General features: G+C 59.1%; 1 protein-coding gene across 48 annotated transcripts in view, besides 3 other annotated features; it reads right to left on the bottom strand.

Annotated features, from left to right (window-relative positions):
* Positions 1 to 21211, bottom strand: part of CABIN1 (calcineurin binding protein 1) — a 167325-nt gene that overhangs the window by 5546 nt on the left and 140568 nt on the right. For 26 of the 48 annotated variants that reach the window (XM_047441219.1, XM_047441226.1, XM_047441232.1 and 23 more), the window contains 5 exons: positions 8520 to 8683; positions 7457 to 7553; positions 5770 to 6444; positions 4562 to 4636; positions 1088 to 1370 (listed from right to left, as the gene is read on the bottom strand). In XM_047441219.1, coding sequence (XP_047297175.1) covers positions 1088 to 1370; positions 4562 to 4636; positions 5770 to 6444; positions 7457 to 7553; positions 8520 to 8683 — 1294 coding nt within the window. Of the gene's footprint in view, positions 1 to 1087; positions 1371 to 4561; positions 4652 to 5769; positions 6445 to 7456; positions 7554 to 8519; positions 8684 to 21211 lie in introns of all 48 variants that reach the window. The other 22 variants (XM_047441218.1, XM_024452184.2, XM_047441217.1 and 19 more) reach the window with 1 other exon arrangement.
* Positions 15034 to 15467: an enhancer, noted in NCBI's record as "ENSG00000099991_22:22883584-22884017 (NCBI36/hg18 genome assembly) insert fragment". NCBI's record gives its function as "drives selective reporter gene expression in differentiated C2C12 myotubes {active_cell/tissue: C2C12}" and the evidence as "EXISTENCE:reporter gene assay evidence [ECO:0000049][PMID:22144875]".
* Positions 16396 to 16465: an enhancer, noted in NCBI's record as "active region_18761". NCBI's record gives its function as "activates an Ori minimal core promoter by ATAC-STARR-seq in GM12878 lymphoblastoid cells {active_cell/tissue: GM12878}" and the evidence as "EXISTENCE:reporter gene assay evidence [ECO:0000049][PMID:35858748]".
* Positions 16646 to 17235: a silencer, noted in NCBI's record as "silent region_13543". NCBI's record gives its function as "represses an Ori minimal core promoter by ATAC-STARR-seq in GM12878 lymphoblastoid cells {active_cell/tissue: GM12878}" and the evidence as "EXISTENCE:reporter gene assay evidence [ECO:0000049][PMID:35858748]".

Below are 21211 nucleotides of genomic sequence, written 5' to 3'. Positions count from 1 at the left end.
GAGGGCCTGAAAGGGAGGGTTGGGGAAACTGGTCCATCGCTGGATGTCCCCAGGGGCACAGGGAACCCTCTGACCACGCTGGTCTCTCCTGGGGCCCCACCAGCTGGGGAGACAAATTAGTTAGGGAATATCCCTGTCCTATTATAGGGCCTTCAGAGCCTGGCCACATGGTCCTAGAGTCCTGGGAACCAACAGGGAAGGGCTCCCTGCCCTGGGTGGCAGGTGGAACCTGGCCCAGGCCTGAGCTGAACCCAGTCTGGCAGAATTGCAGCTGCCAGAGCTGCTGGTGTCAGGACCAGCGAGGGGGATGGTGCCTTGTCTACTCCCCTCTCACTCACTGGCTGTAGCAGCGCTGCCTCTACATCCCCTCCCCAAAGGAAGGATCTGTGGCTTAGCTGTCTGCAGGCTGCCATTCCAATGGATCCTGGGTTTTAGAAGGAACAGGAGCTTTCACCGATGAGGCCAGCAGGGCCCTCTACTGCCCGCACCTTTGTCCTCTCTGTTTTCCTTCACAAGCCCCCTGACCTGCCCCTGCCCTCATCCTGGCTGGCTTCTGTCTTGCCCATGAGGCAAGATGGGGTTTGAGCAGATCTGCTGGCCCCACACCCAGTAGGGCCTGGTACCCAGGAACTGCTCACAGGTAACTGAGGCCGGATACCAGTGGCCTTGCAGCATGCTGAAGGTCAGGACCCCTCCCAGTGCCCTGAGGGAGGCCTGGTGTGGGCTAGTATCCTTTTCCTACCTGACCAAGCCATCCTTCCTACTTACTATAAGGCTTTGTGGGGAGGAAACAGTAGCAAACACGTCCGTGATGGTGTTTGCTCCCTCCCTCCTCACCACCCCCTTTCACAGACTGAGGCACCCAGGGTTAGGTTAAGAGTGGTAGATGTAGGATGTGCTGACCAGGGCCACCGAGGCTGCCAGTGACTGGTGAGTGGACCCGCGGTCACCTGCCCCGCCACCCTGTGGGATCGACTGGGCGGGAGGGCACTGCTTGCCTCCCTTACCCATACTCACACTCTCCCCGCAGGGAGGACTTGATGGTGGCAGGGGCCTGGGCCCAGCTCTGGACTGGGATGGGACTCACCTGGGCCCAGAGAGGCCATGCTGGGGGTAGCTTCAGGCCTGTGTGGCCGGGGAGGCCCAGGGTCCTTGGACTGGTCCAGGGTGGAAGCTGATGCTGACGGAGGGCAGGTGATAATAGTTGTGGCGGCAGCTAGTGCAGGGCGAGGCTTGGTGTGAGCATCACTGGGCCGCTGGACAGAGTCAGCTGGCACAGGGTCAGGGGCTGTGGGCACCACTGTCACAGGAAAGAAGTTCTCTCGGCTGTCTTTGGGGTGCTTTGGAGTGGTGGGGGTGTCCCCCGAGGCCTGTGAGGACAAACAAGAGGTGAGAAAGGCTGGCTAGGCAGCCCTGAGCCCACGCTGCTCTGCCCGCCAGCCGACCAGTGCTGTCCCACAGGACATCCTGTGCGCCTGGGGCTGCCAACACTGCCCATATGGCACCACTGAGCCCCCACAATGCTGCCAACAAGGTCCATCAGAGAGGCACCCCATCAGGATCCTGCTGATGCTAGGACACAGCTGGAGACCCAGAACCCCTCCCTGGGAGAATGTCCAGGCCGTACTGGTGGGGACTCAGTGGAAGGACCTCCAGCTGGCCTTGCCCTCACACCACAGGGTGCCAGTCTGGGAGGATTATGTCCTGCAGGACCCTAGGCATGGGTGCAGCTCCCAACCCAGGGAATGCAGGAACAGGTGGTCAGTCTTGGAGGGTGACTTCCCAATGGCCACTCATGGGAGAGTCCTGAGGGAGCTAGTGGGATGCTGCAAGAGTTTGCTTCCTGGGCTTGATACCACAACCCACTGTGACCTACTGCCACGGCACCCAGTGCTGCCCCCAGCTTGGCCTCTCCCTGCAGCCTGGCCTTGGCAACTGCTCCCACCATGGGCCTTCGATTTCCAGGTGAGCCGGGCCCTAGGGGCCTCCGAGTCTTCATCCACACAATTCCCTCTGCCATGAGGCCCTTTTGGGGTTCTTTTCACAGGGCTACTTTTGCTCCCACCCCCAGCCAGCCCTCCTGGGACAGGTGTGAAGGCTCCAGTGCCCTGACAGCATGTCTTGAGGTGATGTGAGGCAGCCCTGAGGCAGCCTCTCACAGCTGAGCAGAGGAGTGGGTCCACCCTTCAACCCTCCCCAGCACCAGGCTGACTGTACTGTGGGAGCTGGCCCACATGAGGCTGACAGCACCCCCATCCCCACCCCCTCGAGTGTGGGAGAGTCACACGCCTGCAGGTAGGTACCTCAGTGCATGGGGGCGGGGGGGGGGGCAGTTTGCTACCACCGATGACCCTGTCTCTTCTGACATTGGTTTTGCTAAAATGCCCTGTTCCTCAATTCCACATGGTTCAGGACGGGCCCCTGTGGACTCTGCCACATACTGGGTGTCTGGGATGTGCCCCAGGCCGGTGCTCTGGGGCCTAGCCTTGTCCTGTGGGCAGCCCATCCTGTGGGAGTGCGGGGCAGGAGGACAGACCTGTCTCTCGGGCCCTGCGGGCCTGCGGCAATACCAGTGGTGTTGTAGCAGCCTAGCTGGCAGCGTGAGCAGACACGCTGGAGGAAGGTGAGTGCAGTGTCCCTGTGCTCGCTCAGGAGCGGGCCTCAGCCGTGGGCACTGAGCCTCTAATTATGTCCAGAGCACCCTCCAGGCGGGTTCAGGGCTGCCATGGCAACAAGGACATGCCGTGAGCAAAATGGACACTCCCTGAGGGGCGGGAGCTATGGGCTCTGATGGCAGGAAATGGCCTCCAAGATTGGGCTTAAGGGAGGAGAGAACCAGAGGATGGCAGCTAGCCCCTACAGTGGCATCTTCTCTGGGCCCAGGGTAAGAATCCTAGGTAGGAAACGCAAATCTGCCCACGGCAGATACCAAGGCGCCCCCACCGCACCAGGGTCTGGGAAGCAGGCAGGTAGGTCTGAGGGTCATTAGGGCCTCCTCCCTGCCACTCCCCTCCACAAACTGGGAGGAGACTGCTGGGGCCTGGCCTGGCGTCGCCCAGCAGCAGGCAACCTGAAAGGTAAGGACCTGGGTCCCCTGGCTCTGGCCACCCCCATAACCCAGGCTGTGTCTTCCGAGGTCTCTGACGGAAATCTCTGCTCACCCAGCCCTCAGGGGCCCCAATATGCATGTGCCTCGGCAAAATGGGGTCTGGCCCAGCCCTGGCTCCTGCCAACTCAGTAGCCCTTTCTTCTCACGCTACAGTGTGGGGTTGTGGGGGGGTTTCCTGTGTGGGTCTATCTTTTAAGGACGTCAAAAGCAGAAACAGCCCTCCTATCTCCTGAGTGATCACCACTCCCATGTCCACCTGCTCCACCTGGGCCAGTGGAGGAGGCAGGGGCACCCTGGTGGACCTGGGCCTGGGCCTGCGCCCAGCACTGGGGCCCAGACAGCTGTGCTATGCACTCTGCCTAGCTGGACAATGAAATGGTGGGGACTGCTGGGGGTTGGGGCACTCCCTGTCAAGGACTCTGGCCCTTAGCTGGGGACCAGGCCCACCTACTCCCCACAGCATGCCTCGTCTGGCCCACAGCCTGCTTGGTCAAAGCTGAACCTCGAGGGCTTCCGCAGACGTAATAGCCCAGGCAGGTGGTGGGGGCCTGAGGCTCCATTCCACTGAGAAGGAAGCCCGTCTGGACCCCAAAGGCAGCTACCAGCCCTCTGCTAGGGGACCTGGAACAAAGGGACCTGGGACGAGGCTACCGGGGGCATCGGGACACCCCTGGGGACAAAAGACTGCACCTACTCAAATGGCATGCCACCTACCCTCTGGCTTGGAGGCTTATGTTTTAGACAGGGCACACCTGCTCTCTCTGCCTGCCATGTCTGCCCCTCCCTGCCACATCCTCTTGTTGAATTCTGATCCCAGCCCTCCCACCTCTAGCTTGGGGTCCTCCCAGGAGGGGCCTCCCCAACTCCCTACTCCCTGCCATATCTTGGACCCCGCCCCCCCCTCCCCAGCCCTGGCCTGGACCTTGCACTAACCCCATCTTCCCTACTCAGGAGTGTTGCTGCCTTGCTTCCTCCCTGCTTAATAAACTCCAGGACTCCTGCCTACCCTGTCTTAGGACACCTTGCTCCCTACAAGTCCTCCCCTGGGGCGGTGGGGCGGGGGGCAGTCCCTGTATAGGCTGCATCTCCACCTTCCCCTGCCACCTGGCTCCTAACCAGACTGGCTCTAACATTGCTGCTTCTACTTCTGTTCCAAACGGAATGACCTTCCCAGTTGAGGTCAGCTGGCTAGGGGCCATCCTCCTTGTTACAGAAAAGGTGGCTGAGGTGAGGGGACCCCTCAGCATGTCTGAACTGGGGTCTGGGCCGTCAAGTTCCTGCCCACTATGGCCACGTGCTGGAGGCTCAGCTGCCCCCTGCTCATCTCCCCTCAGCCCAAGCTGACCACAAGAACAGTCCCAAGAGTGGATCTGCTTCTCAGCCTGCATCCTAGGGCCTTGATATGGAGCAGGCTCCGCAAGATGAGGCTGGCACAGGCTAAATTGGGCTTACCTGTCTCTGGGCGGCAGCCCCAAGATGGACCTGGCAGAACTTCACAGCCTGCTCCAGCGCAGCCTCCTCATCCACCTTAACAGGGAGATGCTGGAAGTCAGGGGGCGCAGGCCATTGTGGTTAGCCTCCCCCAGCCCTGTCTGTGTATGTAGCACAGACCAGCCTAGGTAGGGGGCATGCCCTGTGGCTCGGGTGCCCCCCAACACCCCAGACTCTGCTGAATAGCCAGCCGTCCCCACTGCTGTCCGCATCTAGACCCCTACGTCCCAGCTCTTCGTGGGTAGCAGGGGCAGATGCCCATCCATCTCCCAGGTGGGGGTGCCTGCTCAGGTGCCACACCACCAGGTACTGGTGCCAGAATTGGACCCAGCTGTTCCTCTGAGCCCATCTGGCTATACCAAGTTCATTTCTATGGCTGAGTTACTTACATCCTCACAAGCTGAGGCTGGCAGGCAGACTCAAGGGCTCCAACCAAGCCTTCAAATTCAGCTGAGGCTCAGTTGCTAGGGGAAGAGGGGAGTCTTCTGAGCTAGAACCTGCCCTTTAAGTGGGCAGGATGGAGGGCCATGATTAGAGTGGGAGAGGCCTTTCGGAATCCCAGGCCTGATGGTGATAGCCCCATGCTGTGTCAAGTGTGTCTAGGGATTCAGTGCCCAAGGTCCATATGATATGGGGCAGTTGGGGGTAGGATGCATTGCAAACTGACATGATTAGAGGGAATACTGTATGTCAGGGATGGTCATCCCATCTGAACCAGTCACTAAAGTTTTGGAGATTCTTCCTATGGGAATAATTTTAAATGGAGAAAAAGGAAAGTGCTTGATACATTAAAATAAAATGTTTAAAAAAAGAAGGCAAAATGACAAGGGGATCTCTGGTCACTGCAGCCATCTTTAGATGACAGCCACAGAAGTCTTGAAGGAAATGCCCTAAGATGTACCCAGAGGCCCAGCGCAGCGGTGGGAGCAGCGGTCCAGACTCCCCGCGCTGGTTGTGATAAGGTTTCTGTGACGGGCTCTCACTTCCTTCCAGGTTGAATATTGACTTTTTAAAGCTCATTGCAGAAAGTGAACAGCAGGGATGGTGTGGGAACAACACCTAAAACCCGCCCCAAGGGCAGGCCTGGGAGACCCTCCTTGAGGATAGAAAGGCAAGAGTGGGGATGCTGCCAGCAGACTAGTGCCCCCAGGCCTCTGCCTGCCACCCACCTGCTTGATGAGCATGTAGGTCTCCGACATGATCCTCTCCACACGGCCCAGGTCATAGGCCACACCCTTCTGGCCCTGCTGCCACACACGGTAGGCATCCAACAGAAGTGTCTTGCCTGACTCTGTGTCCTCCAGGAGCTTCCTCTTGCGGCTGAGCCGGGAGAGCGGCTCCTCCGGGTGGCCCCCTGCCCTGGTCCCTGTGGTGGTGGCGGGGGCGGGGGCGGGGGCTGGCTGGGCTGGGGTGAGCGGGGTGGGCTGCTGCCGGGCACTGATGCTCAGCTCCTCCAGGGACAGCTCAGTGGGCCGGCTCTCGGGGCCCCGGTCCCTTGCGGGGCGACCTGGCAGCAGGGGTGGTGTCCGCTCCAAGTCTGAGTGGCAAACAGTGGCCTCACTCGTGTCCATGGGCTCAGTGGGCCCTGCCCGTGGGCTCTCTTTATCCTTCCGCTCCCCGCTTTGGTCTGCACTGTCTCCTGCATCCATGGCCACAGGCCGGTGGTTGAGGAGGCCCACTTTGCCTCCTGGCTCGGGCCCTGGCCCTGAGCCATCAGCCAGAGGGGGCTTCTTCGGCTGGGGGAGGCCCTCCTGGCCATCCTCAGGACTGGCCTTGTGTGAGACATCGGTGGTCATCCTGGCTCCGGGGAGGCCACAGACCTTGGGCCCTGGGCGTTCTGACCCCTACAAAGAAACCAAAGGTAAGAAGCTGTGTCGCTGGTGTCTCCACTGCAATGAGTCACCTCTGGGGGCTGGTGAGCCCAACCTGGGCCTCTCCCACCTGACATCTGTGTGGCTCCGGACATCTGCCAGCTGGCCAGGGCTGTGTTTCAGTTATCAGAGAAGGACACTGGGCCCAGAGACCTGCCTGAGAAAGGCCTTCCCTCCTCTGCACCTCTGGCTACCCCACCACACTCTTCCAGGTAGCAAGGGGCTGACGGGACTCTGGAGGTGGCACTGCTCCTGAATAACAGGCCTGGGCTGAGCTGGGGCAGCATTGCCCAGCTCCCCTTTGACTCCATGACGTGAACTCCGGGCAGCTCTGGGCATTTTATGGGAGGGGACCTGCCCAGGGCCACCAAGCATGTTTGCTGCAGAGCCAAGTCTTCCTGGCCCTTAATGCACGAGGCCTGGGGTTGGGGGCTGGCAAGGACTCCTCCCCAACAGCCTCAAGTTGATGCCCTCTACCAAGCCACAGCCAGCCCTACCAGGCATAAGCTTTGGAGGCAGTCCTGGCTCAACTCCCAACAGCCCCACCTCGTAGGCTGGCTGCTTAACCTCCCTGGCCTCCTCCAGGTGCTCAGCTGTGAGAAGGAGGTACTGCTGCACCTGCCTCAAGGCTGAAAAGGGACGATGCACACACATGGTGTTCTCATAGGCCTTGGTCAGCCTGCCAGGGAGAGGGCTTGGGACCCCGCCCTGGGTGGTGCAGCCCTTGGGGAGCTCAGTTTCATGGAGTCACTATGGCTCTTACTAATCACCAAGTGCATCCATGACTCACTGAATTCATGTGCATTCATTACCACGGCTGACCTTCCCTGCCTAGGAAGACAGGATGGGTGCTACCTCACAGATGGGGACCCTTAGGCACATCCTGCCTAAGGGTATGCAAATAGAGGGATCGGGCCCACCACCTGGGAAGGGCTTGGAAGCGTGTTCATGGGCCGTGGAGGAGAGGAGGACACAGGTGGCATACCTCTGCGAGCTCGCTCAGCGTGTCTTCGAGCACCTTCACAGTGAGGATGAAGGCCCGCTGCGCCAGGACCTGGCGGTCAGCATCTCGCAGATACTTCCTGCGGTCATACAGGGGTAGTCAGAGAGGACAGGAGGGCATCTGACACCACATGGCACTGCTGGATGGTGGCCACTGCCCATCCCTGCCTTGAGGATGCCTGTTTGTTCCTCAGTGTTCCACCTAACCACCTGTTTGGGGCTGCTCCCCTAGAAGCTTCCCCTGAGCTCCCTCTATCCAGAGCCAGTAGGCCTCTGACCCGGCACCAGCCTGTTGCCCTTAGGCCCTCTGCAGTGGGCCCACCCTGTGTGCTGTGCTCAGCAGCCTATAGCTGCTCCCTCAGGTCTGGCTCCAGGGTGCCCCAGGCCCCAGCTGGAGGCCCCTGAACTCCTGGCACATCGCCTGGCAAGTGGTAGGTGAGTGAGACAGCCAGAGGGTGAGACAGTGCAGGCATGGGAGGAGGCCCAGTCCAGCTGACGGAGTGAGGCCTCCAGGCCAGGCCCATCTACATCTGAGCTGCGTCTCTTCCAGGATCCCCCCAACACCCCCTGTAAATGGCAGCTGTAACAGATGGCTCTGTTATCTGTCCTGCCCTTTCTGGCGGAGAGCTCCCTGTTTACCACTGAGGCCCAGGCACCCCTGTCGCTCACCCCACTGTTACTGGCCTTTGTCTGGGGAACCACAGCTATCTTCTGAACATCTGTTTTCCCTACAACCTGACAGCACCCCGAGAGCCCTGAGTTGGGGGAAGCAGGAGGAAAGGAAAGGCTGGGTAGTCCAGAGTCTCAACGTGGAACCAGGATCAGTGGGGACAGGCTGTGTCTGCCCTAGGGTGCCTGGGGGTGGGAAGTGTTGTTTAGGTTCTAGACACTGGGACAGAGAGGCCCCCAAGGAGAATGAAGAGCTGGTCCAGGCTCCCAGCCAGTGGTCCTCACAGCTGGGCCAGAGCAGTGGAGAGGCTTCCTGGGGTGTGTGTGCCCCTGACCCACACAGCATGCCAGGCTGTGTCCAGGGTGGCTGCACTCACTTGCCCTGGTCTGGGGTCCGCTGAAGCATGGAGGACACCTTCAGCAGGGTGCTGTGGTCCCGCAGCTGGGCCAGCACCTTGAGCAGCAGCACGATGGAGCGGTTCATGTGCCAGGCAAAGCTGCCCGGCCGGTCAATCTCGTCCACGGGGATCCGCCAGATGCCCTGTGGGATGGATGGCACAGGTGTGTGAGGGGGGTGGTTGTGGCAGGAGCCTCGGGGACACCCTGTCTGGTATCCCCTGGAAACTGCCACAGTGCCAAAGGGGACACTGCCCAGCCAGGGGCTTCTTGGACCCCTCTCACTGTCCCAAGGAGACAGAAGTGTATCCCCACCCCCTTCCTTCTCATGAGTGGCAGCAAATGACAGACAGACCCACTGCTCTGCAGCCTCCTCTTTTGTATGGCTGCATCTCATATGTTTGCTGGACCTGTCCCCTATGGGATGCACTCAGGTGGGGCCTGATCAAACGTGAGGACAGACAGTGAGAGGCCCAGTGTGTACACCTCCCTGCACAGGTGCTTACCCAGCCACCAGACCATTTGTTAGAGGTGGAACTGCTGAGTCAAAGCAGGCTGCAGGGAAGCTCTGGCTAGGCTCTGCCCTCACCCACTCTCTCCAGCAGTGCCCAGAGAATCATCTGCAGCTCCTGGGATGCCTGGGGTCCCCCTCCCTCTTCCCACTTCTTGCCATCCTACCCCACTCCTCTTTGAAGGCTTAACCAGGGCAAAGTTGACTTTGGGGAGCACCCCCCATTATCTCCCTTGGTCCTTGCTTTACCTGCTGCAGCACTGGGCACCCCCTACCTATCACTAGCTCCAGGGCCTGGTTCCCTGCAGTGTCCTAGTGACCAGCATGGCATCTGACACCTACTCGGGGTCCAGGCAGGGTGTGGGGAAAGCAGGGAGTGAGTGATGAGGAAACAGGCATTAAGGAGGCCCATCTCTGGGGTGGGACCTCAGGGGCCTGGAATAAGTGAACTGGCTCCTAGATGGGTCCCTGCAGCCAACACGCTGAAGAAACTGCTGCCCAGAATGGACCAAGGTTATGAGTGACATTGCTTTCTCCTTGGCATGGGGCCTGGCCCACATCATGCTGCAGTATAGGATTCTGGGGACTTGGGCCCCCAGCTACAGGGACCACTGCAGGATGTCTAGGTGGTACCCCTCTCAGGGCCCTGTCCCTGTGGGTCCTTGCTGATTATCCACAGTATCTGTACACAGGTGTGGGCCCACCCTGCTCTAGCAGCCCTGGGAGGAAAGCCAGGGCACCTCCAGCCCTGAGCTGTTAAGGCCTGAGAGGAGTTTAAAACTCGCAGCCTTGAGACCCTGTGGCCTCTACACTGGCTCCTGTTGTGACATGGAGGGTCCACCTGCAGGCTGGGGGACTATGTGGAGGCCAGCAGCCACCTTCTACTTCCTGGCAGTGCCTGAAAAGGACAAAACCAGGGTACTGAGGCTATCCACATCCAGGGCAGCAAACATCAATGCTGCATCTTCCTACCATGCAGATGTGGATCCTGAAGCAGCTTATGAAAAGACACCTGCTTTCCAACAGACAGGGTCTATCTACAGTAGGCACCAGAATGGGCAGACACTGTCTCCTGGGTCTCCATCCGCTGTGCTGCAGCAGTACGTCCCGCTGAAGACCCTCCCATCCCTGCACCTCCCAGGGCACATAGACACCAACAGACACACCCGTGAGGACGGGTCTAGTTTGCATCACACACACCAGCACAGTTTGGATCCCTATCTCCTTTCCGTTTCCTTTTGTAACATAACACTGCTGATTTCAGAAAGGATGGAAGACCAAACAAATCAGGCAGTGAGTCCATGGAAAATCAGAAGGGAACCATAGACACCGCCGCCCGCTTGGCCACCCCCATGCTATTGTGACTCTCAAAACTTCCCCAGCCAGCCCTGAGAGGCTTGAAAGGCAGCATTTTACATTTGCATGTGCTCTGGTTTCATTCTGGCATCTTGCTTGGCCTTTTTCTGGTAACAGTGTGCTGAAGGGCACGTTTCCCGGGCAGGGTCAGGCCAGCTAGTGTGCCCTTGTTCATCTCTTTACTGTATCTTCATTCACATGCCCCAGTATGGGGGCTCCTATGTTTATTTACCTTGCACTGGGCACTATTCCCAGAAGCCCCTTCTGTTGTGGGCTTGTCCTTTCCCTGCCCCCAGGATTGGCCCCCTTGCCTGCTCGGCCAGGCCTAAGACCCACCACCAGCCATGGGAATTCAGCCAGCAGATGGGCCCCAGGATCCCAGTCAGGCTTCCCCTCCTAATGAGAGCCTTTAGGAATAACCCCTCTTCTCTGTGGCCTGGGGCGGTGTGCAGATGGACATACCTCCCGAACGGTGAGGGGACTTCCTATGGCCATGAGGCTGGCCTCCAGAGAAAGCTGGTCTGAAGAGTGAAGCCACCAGGCAGAGTCACGAGCCAGCAGGGTGGTAGCAAGCCAACTGGCTTTCTGCCTACACCAGGTGGAGCTGGGCTTCTGTGTTTGCAGCAAGAGACCCATGAGAAGGATGATACTGGCAGCCCCAGGATGACCTGGACACAGCGGTTCCCCACAGAGGGGCAGTAGCCACAGCAGCCCTCTCCCTCCACTGTCCCTCTAACACCGGGCCTGTGGAGGGCTATGAAGCTCCTAGAGAACCAAGGTGCTGAGGAGGGTCTCCTGGAGTGGGACAGGTACAAGGGACAGCCCCTGCTTCACCTGGTTTTCCTCACCACGGCCCACACAGGAGGAAGGGGCATGGCCAGGTTCCAACTGCCACAGCAGAAGCCCCACTGCATTCAGCCCAGGGACTCACGTTCGGGCCTCAGGGAGGGTGTGGAGAATGTGCCAGGGGTGAGCTTGGATAAAGCTAAGTCAGGGCCAGAAAAGAAGGGCATAGGCAGCAGTGACCAAGAGGCCTGGCTGAGGGCAGGTGGAGGGAGCCAGCACCAGGCCAACACCCCCACGGCATCTGAGGGAAAGGCAGAGGCAGGATCATAGATGGGCAGGGGCCATAAGTAGCAGCTGAGAGAAGCAGGGTCGCCGCGAGGAGGGTCTCCTCTGGCCCTCTCCTAGTTCTCCCTCAGCCCTGGGTCCCGCTGCTCTGGCCGTACCCCTTGCCTCGCCTCTCCCAGTTCCACAGGCACACTTGCTGTCTTCAGATTTGCCCCACTTGATTCCTGGGCCCTGGTGTCACCAGGGCTGGGTTCCCTGATGGCCACAGTGGCTGGGATAATGCTTGCTTATAGAGTTGAGGGCAGCTGGGGGTGCACACCAATAGCCTCAGAGGACTTAAAGACACTGAGATTGTGCTTGAGGCTTCCCCTCCATGCCAAGCATCTCTTTCCAGGCATCTCAGTCAATCCCCCAACCCTTCAGAACGGCTCTAGGCTCCTCACTGGCAGATGAGGTCACAGAGAGAGATTTTAACAATCTGAATAATTTATGAAGCCCCAGACTCTAAGCTGAGTGCCTGATACAAGTTACCAAACCCTGCCTACAGCCTTAAGACTTTGGTGGTCTTCCCTCTGCTCTTGAGGAAACAGAGCCTCAAACACTGAGTCCCATGGTAGAGTGAGCCTAGGGGTCCACAGAGGGAGGGCATGACTGCTATGATTTGGGAACCCACGAAGACTTTCCTGGGGGAACTGAGAGCTGGTTAAGTGGAGGTGGTAGGATGCTGCCGGGCCAGCCTGTGCTCTTGCCCTGTCCATTTATGAGGGGGCTGGGAAGCAGGGTGAAGTGCCTGGGGGCAGGAGGGCTGTGCAGTCTTGGCAGGTGGCACCACTTCGAGGTGACAAGTGTCCCTGAAGTTATAGAACACTGCTATTCCCGGCCAACAGGCCAAGGCCATGCCCAGGCCCATGGCTCATGGCTCATGCTGTCTCCAGCACACTGTGGTCTCAGGGGAGCTTACTCCTGGAGGGGCAGGGGCTCTCTTTTCTGCCAGACACAGCCTTTCACTCAGCCAGGGCCAACCCGGGGCTCGACAGCCTGATGCCACAAATTCAAACACTGTTCTGATTCTCATTGTAAACCCCACTGCTGGCTGCTGGGTCACTGCTTGGGCCATTTTTAGTGGCACAGCCCAAGGCTGTTCTGAGGCTCCCTGAGCTGAGGGTTCCCAGCTCTATCTGTCACCTTGGCGGACCCCACCTTTCAGTCATGACTCCTTCTAGAGCTTCCTCCACTTCTAGGGCACAGGCAAAGGCTCTTCAGGAAATCAAGTGCCCCTGGAAATTCCAAGGCAAGAAAGAAGGGTAAGCAAGAGGAGCAGGCCAGTCAGAACAGTACTCAGACCCAAGGCACGAGCTTGTCACAGAGTGGACGAGGGTCAGGTGTGGGCTGAGTAGGGACATAGAGATTCATCCTATGTCTACACTGGGAGGGACAACCTGAGTATGTAATCAACTCACCCCTCATTTTCCAGAGAGGGAAACTGAGTTCAGGTGACCTGCCAAGGCTGCCTAGTGATGCAAAGTGGGACAGGACCCAGGGGCCAGACTCGCCCACCTCAAGTCTCTTCCTACACCCCTGCTTAACACTCAGAGGAACAAGAAATTGGCAGCCTCCCTGTTTTACAGATGTAGAAATGGAAGCATGGAGAATGCAGTGATGCCAGTTCACCTCGGTTTTGAAAAGGTGCCTCTTAAGACTTGCAAAGGCCCATTGCAGGGGCAGGCTGCCACTGGAATGCCTGCCTGTGGACGGGGTGGCTGGCAGGTGGCCAGTGTCTTCCACCAGCACCATGGGTGCCTCAGGGTGTCATAATTAAGTCCCTTGGGCAATGTTGCAGGAAATGGCCTCTAAGCAAGCTCTCTGCTGGCCTTTTCCAGCTGTCCCCTGCTGCCACACCCACAGGATTCAGATGCAACCCCCTGCCCCATTCTGTCATTCCCAGGGCCATGCCCAGCTGGGATGCCACGTGAGGCTCAAGCAAGAGGGCAGAAGAGGGAGGAACCATACTTGGGAGTAGACAGAATGGCTGTGAAGGAGCTGCCTGGGCGCTGCACAGGGGTGCTGAGGAAGGAACAGGCCATGAGGTGCCAGGAGCCACCTGGGAGACCCAGGGCACCTGGCCTGACAAGGGAGCAAGCAGGCAGCTGGGCAGGTGGTCATCTACTTCACACAGCAGTCTCTTTCCTCTCCAGCTCACCCAGGTTGTCCAATCCAAACTAGCCTGAGTCTGCTAGGGGCCTTCTTGGGCTTGGCCCGGCCTGGTCAGGCACTGCCTGCAGGGTTGCCCCCAGCTTCTGACGTCAGCAGCCAGTTTCAAGGGCCTGAGTCTTGAACGGGAATAGCTGCCCTGCCACAGTCCCCTGGACTCTGGGCTCCCCAGGGTGGAGCAGATGGGTGGTGCAGGCAGGAGGGCTGCATCTCTCTGGCTCACACCTATACCTCAAGGCCTTTGAGCAGAGCCTGGCCTCCTGGGAGACTCAAGATCTGTGAGCCAAGATGAAATCTCAGAGAACTCCTGAAGCCCCTGGGGGGAAGAGAAGCCCACAGGCAGAGAGAGTCAGGACAGACAGGGGCCCCTGGGTCCTGCCTGCAGACTGCCCAGAAAAGTAGTATTCCAGGTAAAACCCACAAATCCTGGCCTCCACATCCCTTTGCCCTTGGTGTAGCCCTAAGGTGACTCTGATTCCCAAGAGGGCTGGAAAAGTGTCTTGTCCTCCCTCATGTTCCTAGCGCCACATCCAGGCTACCCCTGAGTAGGCATTGGAGAGTTTATGCCACAGATAAATCCCTTTCAAGGATGCTGGGGAAGCCCAACTTCCCAGTGATCCAGGGTGAGGGGACAGGAGAGAAGCTGGAACAAGAAGTAATGGGCTAGGAGAGCAAGGGATGTGGGGGGTTTTTGAAGAAAGCCAGAAAAAAACCAGGATGCAGCTGGTGCCAGAGAAGAAGCGTCGGCCAAGCAGATGAGGAAATGGGCAGCCGAGTCAGGGGTATAGCAGTGACTCCCTCAGAGTCTTCCCCATCACCCGCAGCGTCCTGAGCGGAAAGTGGGTAATTTTAATCCTGACTTTTAACTCAGCAAATACAGTACATGTATTTTCCCACATCACCAAAAACATCATTCAAAATGACCACAGAGCCCTTCACTGCACAGTGAAGTGGGCTACTGGTGAGCATCTGGCTCTGGGACTTAAGGATTCTGATGAAGAATGCTGGGCTGAACATACTTCTCCACAAAGCTTTTCTCCCTCTCTTCAAGATAGATCACCCAGAGGGGACCACGAGAGTGGGCACGCAGCAGCAGGCTGGTCTCCAGGAAGCAGGTCCTGGGTGCCTGAGCTGACACAGTGGGTGAGTGTTCTGTCTTCCTGGGCCCTCCTAGCCCCAAGCCAGCCCTGTATGCCCGTGGTAAGATGGGTGGGCAAGGCTTCCTGGAGGAGCTCAGCTCTGCCAGCTCTGTTCACAGAAAACACGACACTGTGAGCAACCAAGGGAGAGCCCGTTCCCCTGGTGGAGGGATTCCTCCAGCATCCCCCGTGGCACGGGTGTCGTGGTGACTCAGTGCTCGGAACAGGCGAGGGCGGGGAGCCTGTTGGCATCCCATTCCCAAGAGCAGTGGGCACAGGGTGTAGGAGCAGACTGCATTGAGCTGAGGGCCAGCTGCTGAGTGGGTGGCTGCAGCTAGAGAGCGATGGAGCCTCTCAGCAGAGAGGGCTGCTGGGAGAGGAGATTAGGGGCCTCCCCGCCCCCCCAGAAAAGCATAAAAACTTCCTCCTGGTTCCAGCCTATTCTTAAGCACCTCAAGCGGAGCCAGGAAGGGGATGGAATCTGGCCCTGAGGTCAGGAGCAGCTGTGGGGAAAATACCAAAATCCTCTACAGTCCTGGGGAGACCCCTGTTACCCACAAACCCACACAAGTCACCAAAGCGGCGAAACAGCTTGGAGGAAAAGGAGGGGATGGCGTGGGGCGTGTAGGGCAAACTTCATCTCCTGGGGCCAACCGTCTTCACAGGCTGCCTGCCCAGCTCCTTTAACACATGATTTCACTTACACCTTGCTGGGGGAGAGACTTGTTCCAGGGCAGCCAGCCTGCAGGGAGCCAAGACTACAGCTGAACTAAGCCTATCATGCTCTTTGCACTCTACCCGGCTTGTCCCTAAGGAAGATGAGCATCACAGACAGAGCCAGGCCGGCTGGGCAGCACCCCTCCGAGCCCTGGCCCAGATTGCCCCTTCTGGAGCCTCCCTACTCAGGAGTCCCGAAGCCTTTAGAGGCAGGACTGAGTTTCCAGACCAGCAGCTCCCTATCTTCCTGATGCCCTGAGGAGCTGAGGGTCTGGCCCCTCCCGCAGTCCTGTTCCTCCCCTAAGGTTGGGAGGAAAGGGGCCCCAGAAGCAGGCCAGGTTGAACACCCCTAGGGACAGGAAGTTCCTGCAGCTTCTACCACAAACCTATCAGGGCGGGCCTCTCTGGCCGCAGGGTTGTACACAGGCCACCAGGGGCGCCCTGGCCTCCGCCCACTCCTACACCCCACCCCCCACAACGCGGTCCTGTCTCTCCAGGCGGGGCTACTGAGGGCAAGGGATTCCCCGCGCCATCCACAGGTAATGATTCTCTCTGCAGACAAGGGCTGGGAAAGCCTGCAATTTGCCTGCAGCTGGCGCCCGCTCGTTTCCAGCCTCTCCTGCCAAATAAGACGTGGAGCGCTAAGGTCCCCAGAACTGCCGGGCTGTTCCTCCCTTCCCCCTCCCGGGAAAAGCAGAAACGACAAACAACCAAGTGCATGGGAGAGCCCCGCCGCCAACTCTGCTGTAGGCTCTATGTGCCCACCCCCCATCCCATGCAACCGTTACCCCTAACCTCACTCCTCCCACTCCGCTGCGGGGCAAGGTCCTAGCCCAGCGCACATAACGGGCCGGTGCTTGTAAAGGGCTGGAACCATCTTCCTGTCCCCGCACAGCACCTATTTATAGCTAGCGAAGCACCGCGCCCGGACGCGCTGCCCACCCGGCCGGGCGGCCAGCTCACCATCCCCAAGAGCGGCACGGCACAGCTCCTCGTCGGCGCCTTCCGCCGCAAAGTTGCTCTGGCGGGCGGCTTTCGCTTTCGCGCAGCGCACGCCCCCACGAGCCAGCTCCCAGCCCGGGGCTTGGTAGGGCTGGATGCGCTGGCGCGTGTGCGGGCTTCACCAGCGCCTGCCGCCCCCGCGCGCCGCCGCCCAAGCCGGCTTGGCCGCCCACCTGACGCTGAACCGGGTGCCAGCCCGCCCTGGGCATGGGGGCGCAGCACCCCGCCGCCGGCCGATTTCCTCCGCGGGGGCGCCGGGGAAACCACAGCCCACGGGCTTCCTGCTGCGCCTGGTGCGCCGAGGCGGGGGGCGGCCGCCAGAGCCCACCAGGGGACGATTGAGCAAAAGCGCCAGCAAAGTGGAGACCCAGACGGGCAGCGGAGGCGAAGCGGTTGCGCAGCCCCAGCCCCGGCCCCAGTCCCGGCCCCAGTCCCGGCCCCCGCCCCCGCCAAGTTCCTACCCGCCGGCTCCGCCGTGGCATCTGTGCAGTGGAGCTAGGGCGAGCGCCGGGCCATGGCCGCGGAGGCTCGTTCGCTCTCTCGCTCGCGGCGGGCCGGGGCGGGGCAGGCGCGGCCGGACGGGGCGCCGGCACTCTACTGGAAGCGGGCCCAGGAGCGCAACTGACTTTTGCCGGCCAATCCTCTCCGGTTCCCTGGACTGGCCGCTGGTGGCGGGCTGTGGACCGCTGCCGGGCAAAGTGGGTGCAGCTCTCACTGCAGGAAGCTGTGGGGCCCCAGAGAGCATGGTGTAGGGGTGGCCAGGAGTGCGGCAGGCCGGGATGGCATTGGCCAACTGTGTGTGAGGGTTATATCCCCCCTCTGCAGGCGGTGCCTATGTGAATGGCGCCCCCTGGAGTTGTGCCAGTAGTGCCCTGTGGCAGGCAGAAGTGTAGGTGTGTGGGGGAAACGACTGGCCACAGCCGAGCTGTCCTTGCTGTTACAGTTGGGCAGGGGGGCTGCAGTGAAGACCGCTGGAGTAATGTCCTCAGGGCGGAGGGCAAAAAAGAGATGCCATGGTAAGTGGGTTTTACAGCTGGAAGGGGCCTCATCTTCCAGCTAGGCTGTGAGGCCCACAGAGAAAGCACTGGGTTTGAGGGGTAGGGTTGGGAGTAGTAGGCAGCTCTCAGGACACCCCTTCCCCCAGTTTCAGTATTCCAAGAACAGCAACAGTACCCCATCCCCAGGACATGAGCAGCTTTGCAGAGCTCAGGGAGGGTCGCTCTCCGGCCTGGAAGCGGGTACTGTACCCTGCTACAGATGAGAAACAGGCTCAGGAGGGGAGGGCCTCACTCACAGCGTCTGGCCAATGCCCCTGGTACTCACAGCTCCAGTGTGCACACAGCATCTTCCTGATTTCCCATGAAGGTAGGCTGCACTGGGACAGTCTACCAACTCCTGGCTGCTCCTCCCACTCCAGCTGAGGGGAGGCCAAGGAAAGGCAGGGATGGGCCAACCTGCACGGGCTAGGTGAGAGAGATGCTGCCCCAAGCCCTGGCTTACCCACCCCCAACCCTTTGCCCCCATGAGCTTCTCTCTTATCACATAGCGAGCTTCTCTCTTATCACATAGCGCCGTTCCTCCCTCCACAGACACCCAGGGGCCTCAGACCCATTTAGCCCCTATCCTGGTGACACCTGTCCTAGTGACATCTCCTCTCTGAGCTGGCTGGTTTCCACCTGGCCTACCCCTGGGCTGGTTCCTGGAGCCAGCGGTCCAAGGCTTACTCTGTGCCCCTTCCAGGTACCCCTAGTCCAAATCAGCCCCAGGTCCAACCTGCCCCTTCAGCCTGGGTAATGTCACACTCTCTGCCCTCCTTCCTTCCCTCCAGGAGGAACTCAAGAGGCAGTGCCTCAGGATCTCCTCGAGGGATACTGCTCCCTGCCAGGCACTGGACTTGCTGCTGGGGACACAGAAGAAGGAGGCTGGGTTACCTAGAGATCATTCACTTGCAGGGGAGTCACAATGAGCACAAGCTACCTCAAGGCTGTGTGAGGACAAGGGGCTCCTCACCATGGTCAGGGTCTTAAGCAAGGAGTTCTAAATCTGCATGTTGCTCAAGCCACAACAGCCCCTTGCCATCTACCTACATTCATATAGTCATTTGACAGACACACATAGGGACAGGTTCAGAAACACTGGACACTGGTGCAGTCACACAGCAATAAGGCCACTATGGCTGGGACCTGTCCCCAAGGCCCGACTAGCTCCAGAGCTAGTTGGGCCACTCTTCCCGGCTGTCCACAGGGCTGTAGCAGACACGAGGACCAAAGCGACACTCACACCTTGCACAGCTCATGACCTTACTTCATACCTTATCTACTTCCTGTAAGATCAAGTTGGACCAAAGGAAGCTGAGAACATCTGCTCATCACACCCAGGCCAGGAAGAAACTGTGTGTTGTCTGTGGTGAGTGTGTGGCTCTCTGGAAACTAGTCCCCTGCATCCCAGAGGCCTCCAGGTCCATCACGGGCAGCACCTAGCTCTCCCCAGCGCGCATGCCTTCCCACAGAAAGAGTAGAGTGGATAGGTGCTCTCTCAGACACATTGCCAAAGAAGGGATCTGCAGGCACCACTCCACCTACCAGCACAGATGAACACACTGAGGCTCAGAATGGGCTGGGCAGCTTGGGGTCCCAGTGCCTGGCTATCACAGCAGGAGGGAGTCCTGTGGTGGAAGAGGGGAGCTCAGGGCTTCTGTGCTAAGCCTCTGCTGAGTAAAGCCTCTGGGGAGACTTCCCTGGGAGAATGTTGCTCCCAGCTGGGCTCCGAGGCCTTGTGGGTTCCAGCTTCCTTGGTCCCCCTCCCAGCACCACACGATGTCCTGCACTCTGTGCCTGTATCTGTGCCAGCCCTCTCCAAAGCCCCATCAGATGGATACTGCCATGTCTGACAGGTAAAAACACTCAGGCCCTGAGCATGGAGGTTCCTCACTAAGCTGAGCCTTACCCTGTCACCCCCCAACCCCCCAGGAAGTGCTTGTGTACATACCAAGAGGTCCCTGGAGCGTCATGTGATAGTGCTATGACAATCAGAGGCTGGTGAGACTGCCTGCCCTGATCCTTGAGGATTCTCTGGGCTCAAAGAGCTGCGCTTACTGGCACTGTCAGCACCCTATGCAGGAAAACCCTGTGGGACCTAATTACCCACAAAGCACCTGGATGTCCAGGACACAAGCCTCTGACCACTGCCCCAGAGAGAGAACTGCTTACCCACCTCAGGGCCACTCCTGAAGGCCTATGAAGTTGCAGCTCTCTGCCAACCTAAGGAGCCCAGGAGACCAGGCCACCCCAGCCATGCTCACCCACAGGCCAGCAGGAGCCTGCTTAAGTGGTCACACCCTCCTTGGAAATATATGCTTGGCCTTTGGCTCACGTGGCTGGTCCAAGTAAGTACCTTCACACCCCCCACCCCAGTGGTGGTGGGCTTCTGGTCCTGCAAATCCAAGGCCCAGATCCCAGAGCTAGGCTGCTGCCAAAGGTGCTGTCGGCTGAGCTGCCCAGGGGACCTCATAGCCCCAGTGGCACCCTATAGCCATCCCTTCCAAGGCCTGAGTGGGTGCAGACCTGTAGATTTCTCCTGGCTCCTTTCTTTTTTTTTCTCTGCTCTGTCGCCCAAGCTGGAGTGCAGTGGTGCAATCTTGGCTCACTGCAACCTCTGTCTCGTGGGTTCAAGCAATTCTCCTGCCTCAGCCGCCCAAGTTGCTGGGATTACAGGCACACACCACCACGCCCAGCTAATTTTTATATTTTTAGTAGAGATGGGGTCTCACCATGTTAGCCAGGCTGGTCTCAAACTCCTAATCTCAAATGATCCACCTGCCTCAGCCTCCCAAAGTGCTGGGATTACAGGCGTGAGCCACCGTGCCTGGCCCTGGCTCCTTTCTTGCCGTGGCAAGAATGTTCCTCAGTGTTAACAGTCCCCGTTCTCAGCCTGGGAGCTTTGAAGCTTCCAGTTGGTTTGGAGGCACAAGGCCTTGCTGCTGCTTACCTGCCTCCCTGCTGTGGGACACTGGCTCTGTGTGACCTGTGTCTGGCAATTTTTCTACCTAGAGTGTGACAGCAGAGACTGCTGAGCCTTACAGTTCCGAGTCAGCCAGTTTCCTCTCCTTTCCCCAACGGTCGAGACAGAGTGAAGTGCGTTTCTCCTCCCTAGACCCACAGACCCCCAAAAACCATCCTGTCCAGATGCCCACAGCTCCACTTGATTCTTGCAGGCTAGAGCTTCTGCTACTCAGAAATTGTCCAGCCTGTGCTGAACTTTAGATGTCACTGAGTCCAAATGCTCTGTGTGAGCCATGAGTGAGGACGCAGAGATGAGGAAGACAGAAATGACCTTCCTGGGTCAGCCACAGCAGGGATCGACTCAAGGATCCCTGTCCCTCAGTCTGGGGCTGCCTCCATCTCAGTGGACAGCTGTGCCTGGATCACGTGCACATCCACGGGGACGGCACATGCGGCACCTGGTGTGCACAGGGCTGTTGTTGCTACCAGTGCCCTACTGAAGGGGAAAAGATGCCCCAAGATGGCTGTCCCCACAGTTCTCCATCACCAGGAGGCAGAACTGGGATCTTAGTCACCAATACCAGGGCTCTTGTGGATGGGCAGTGACCCAGCCACAGCCTGGAGGACTGAGTGGAGGAAGGATGGGCCACTGGAGGAAGGTGAGG

The sequence above is a fragment of the Homo sapiens genome, chromosome 22 (genome assembly GCF_000001405.40).
Source record: "Homo sapiens chromosome 22, GRCh38.p14 Primary Assembly".
NCBI lineage: Eukaryota > Metazoa > Chordata > Mammalia > Primates > Hominidae > Homo > Homo sapiens.
The sequence above is the reverse complement of the archived record's forward strand: the minus strand, read 5'-3'. Positions and strand labels throughout refer to the sequence as shown.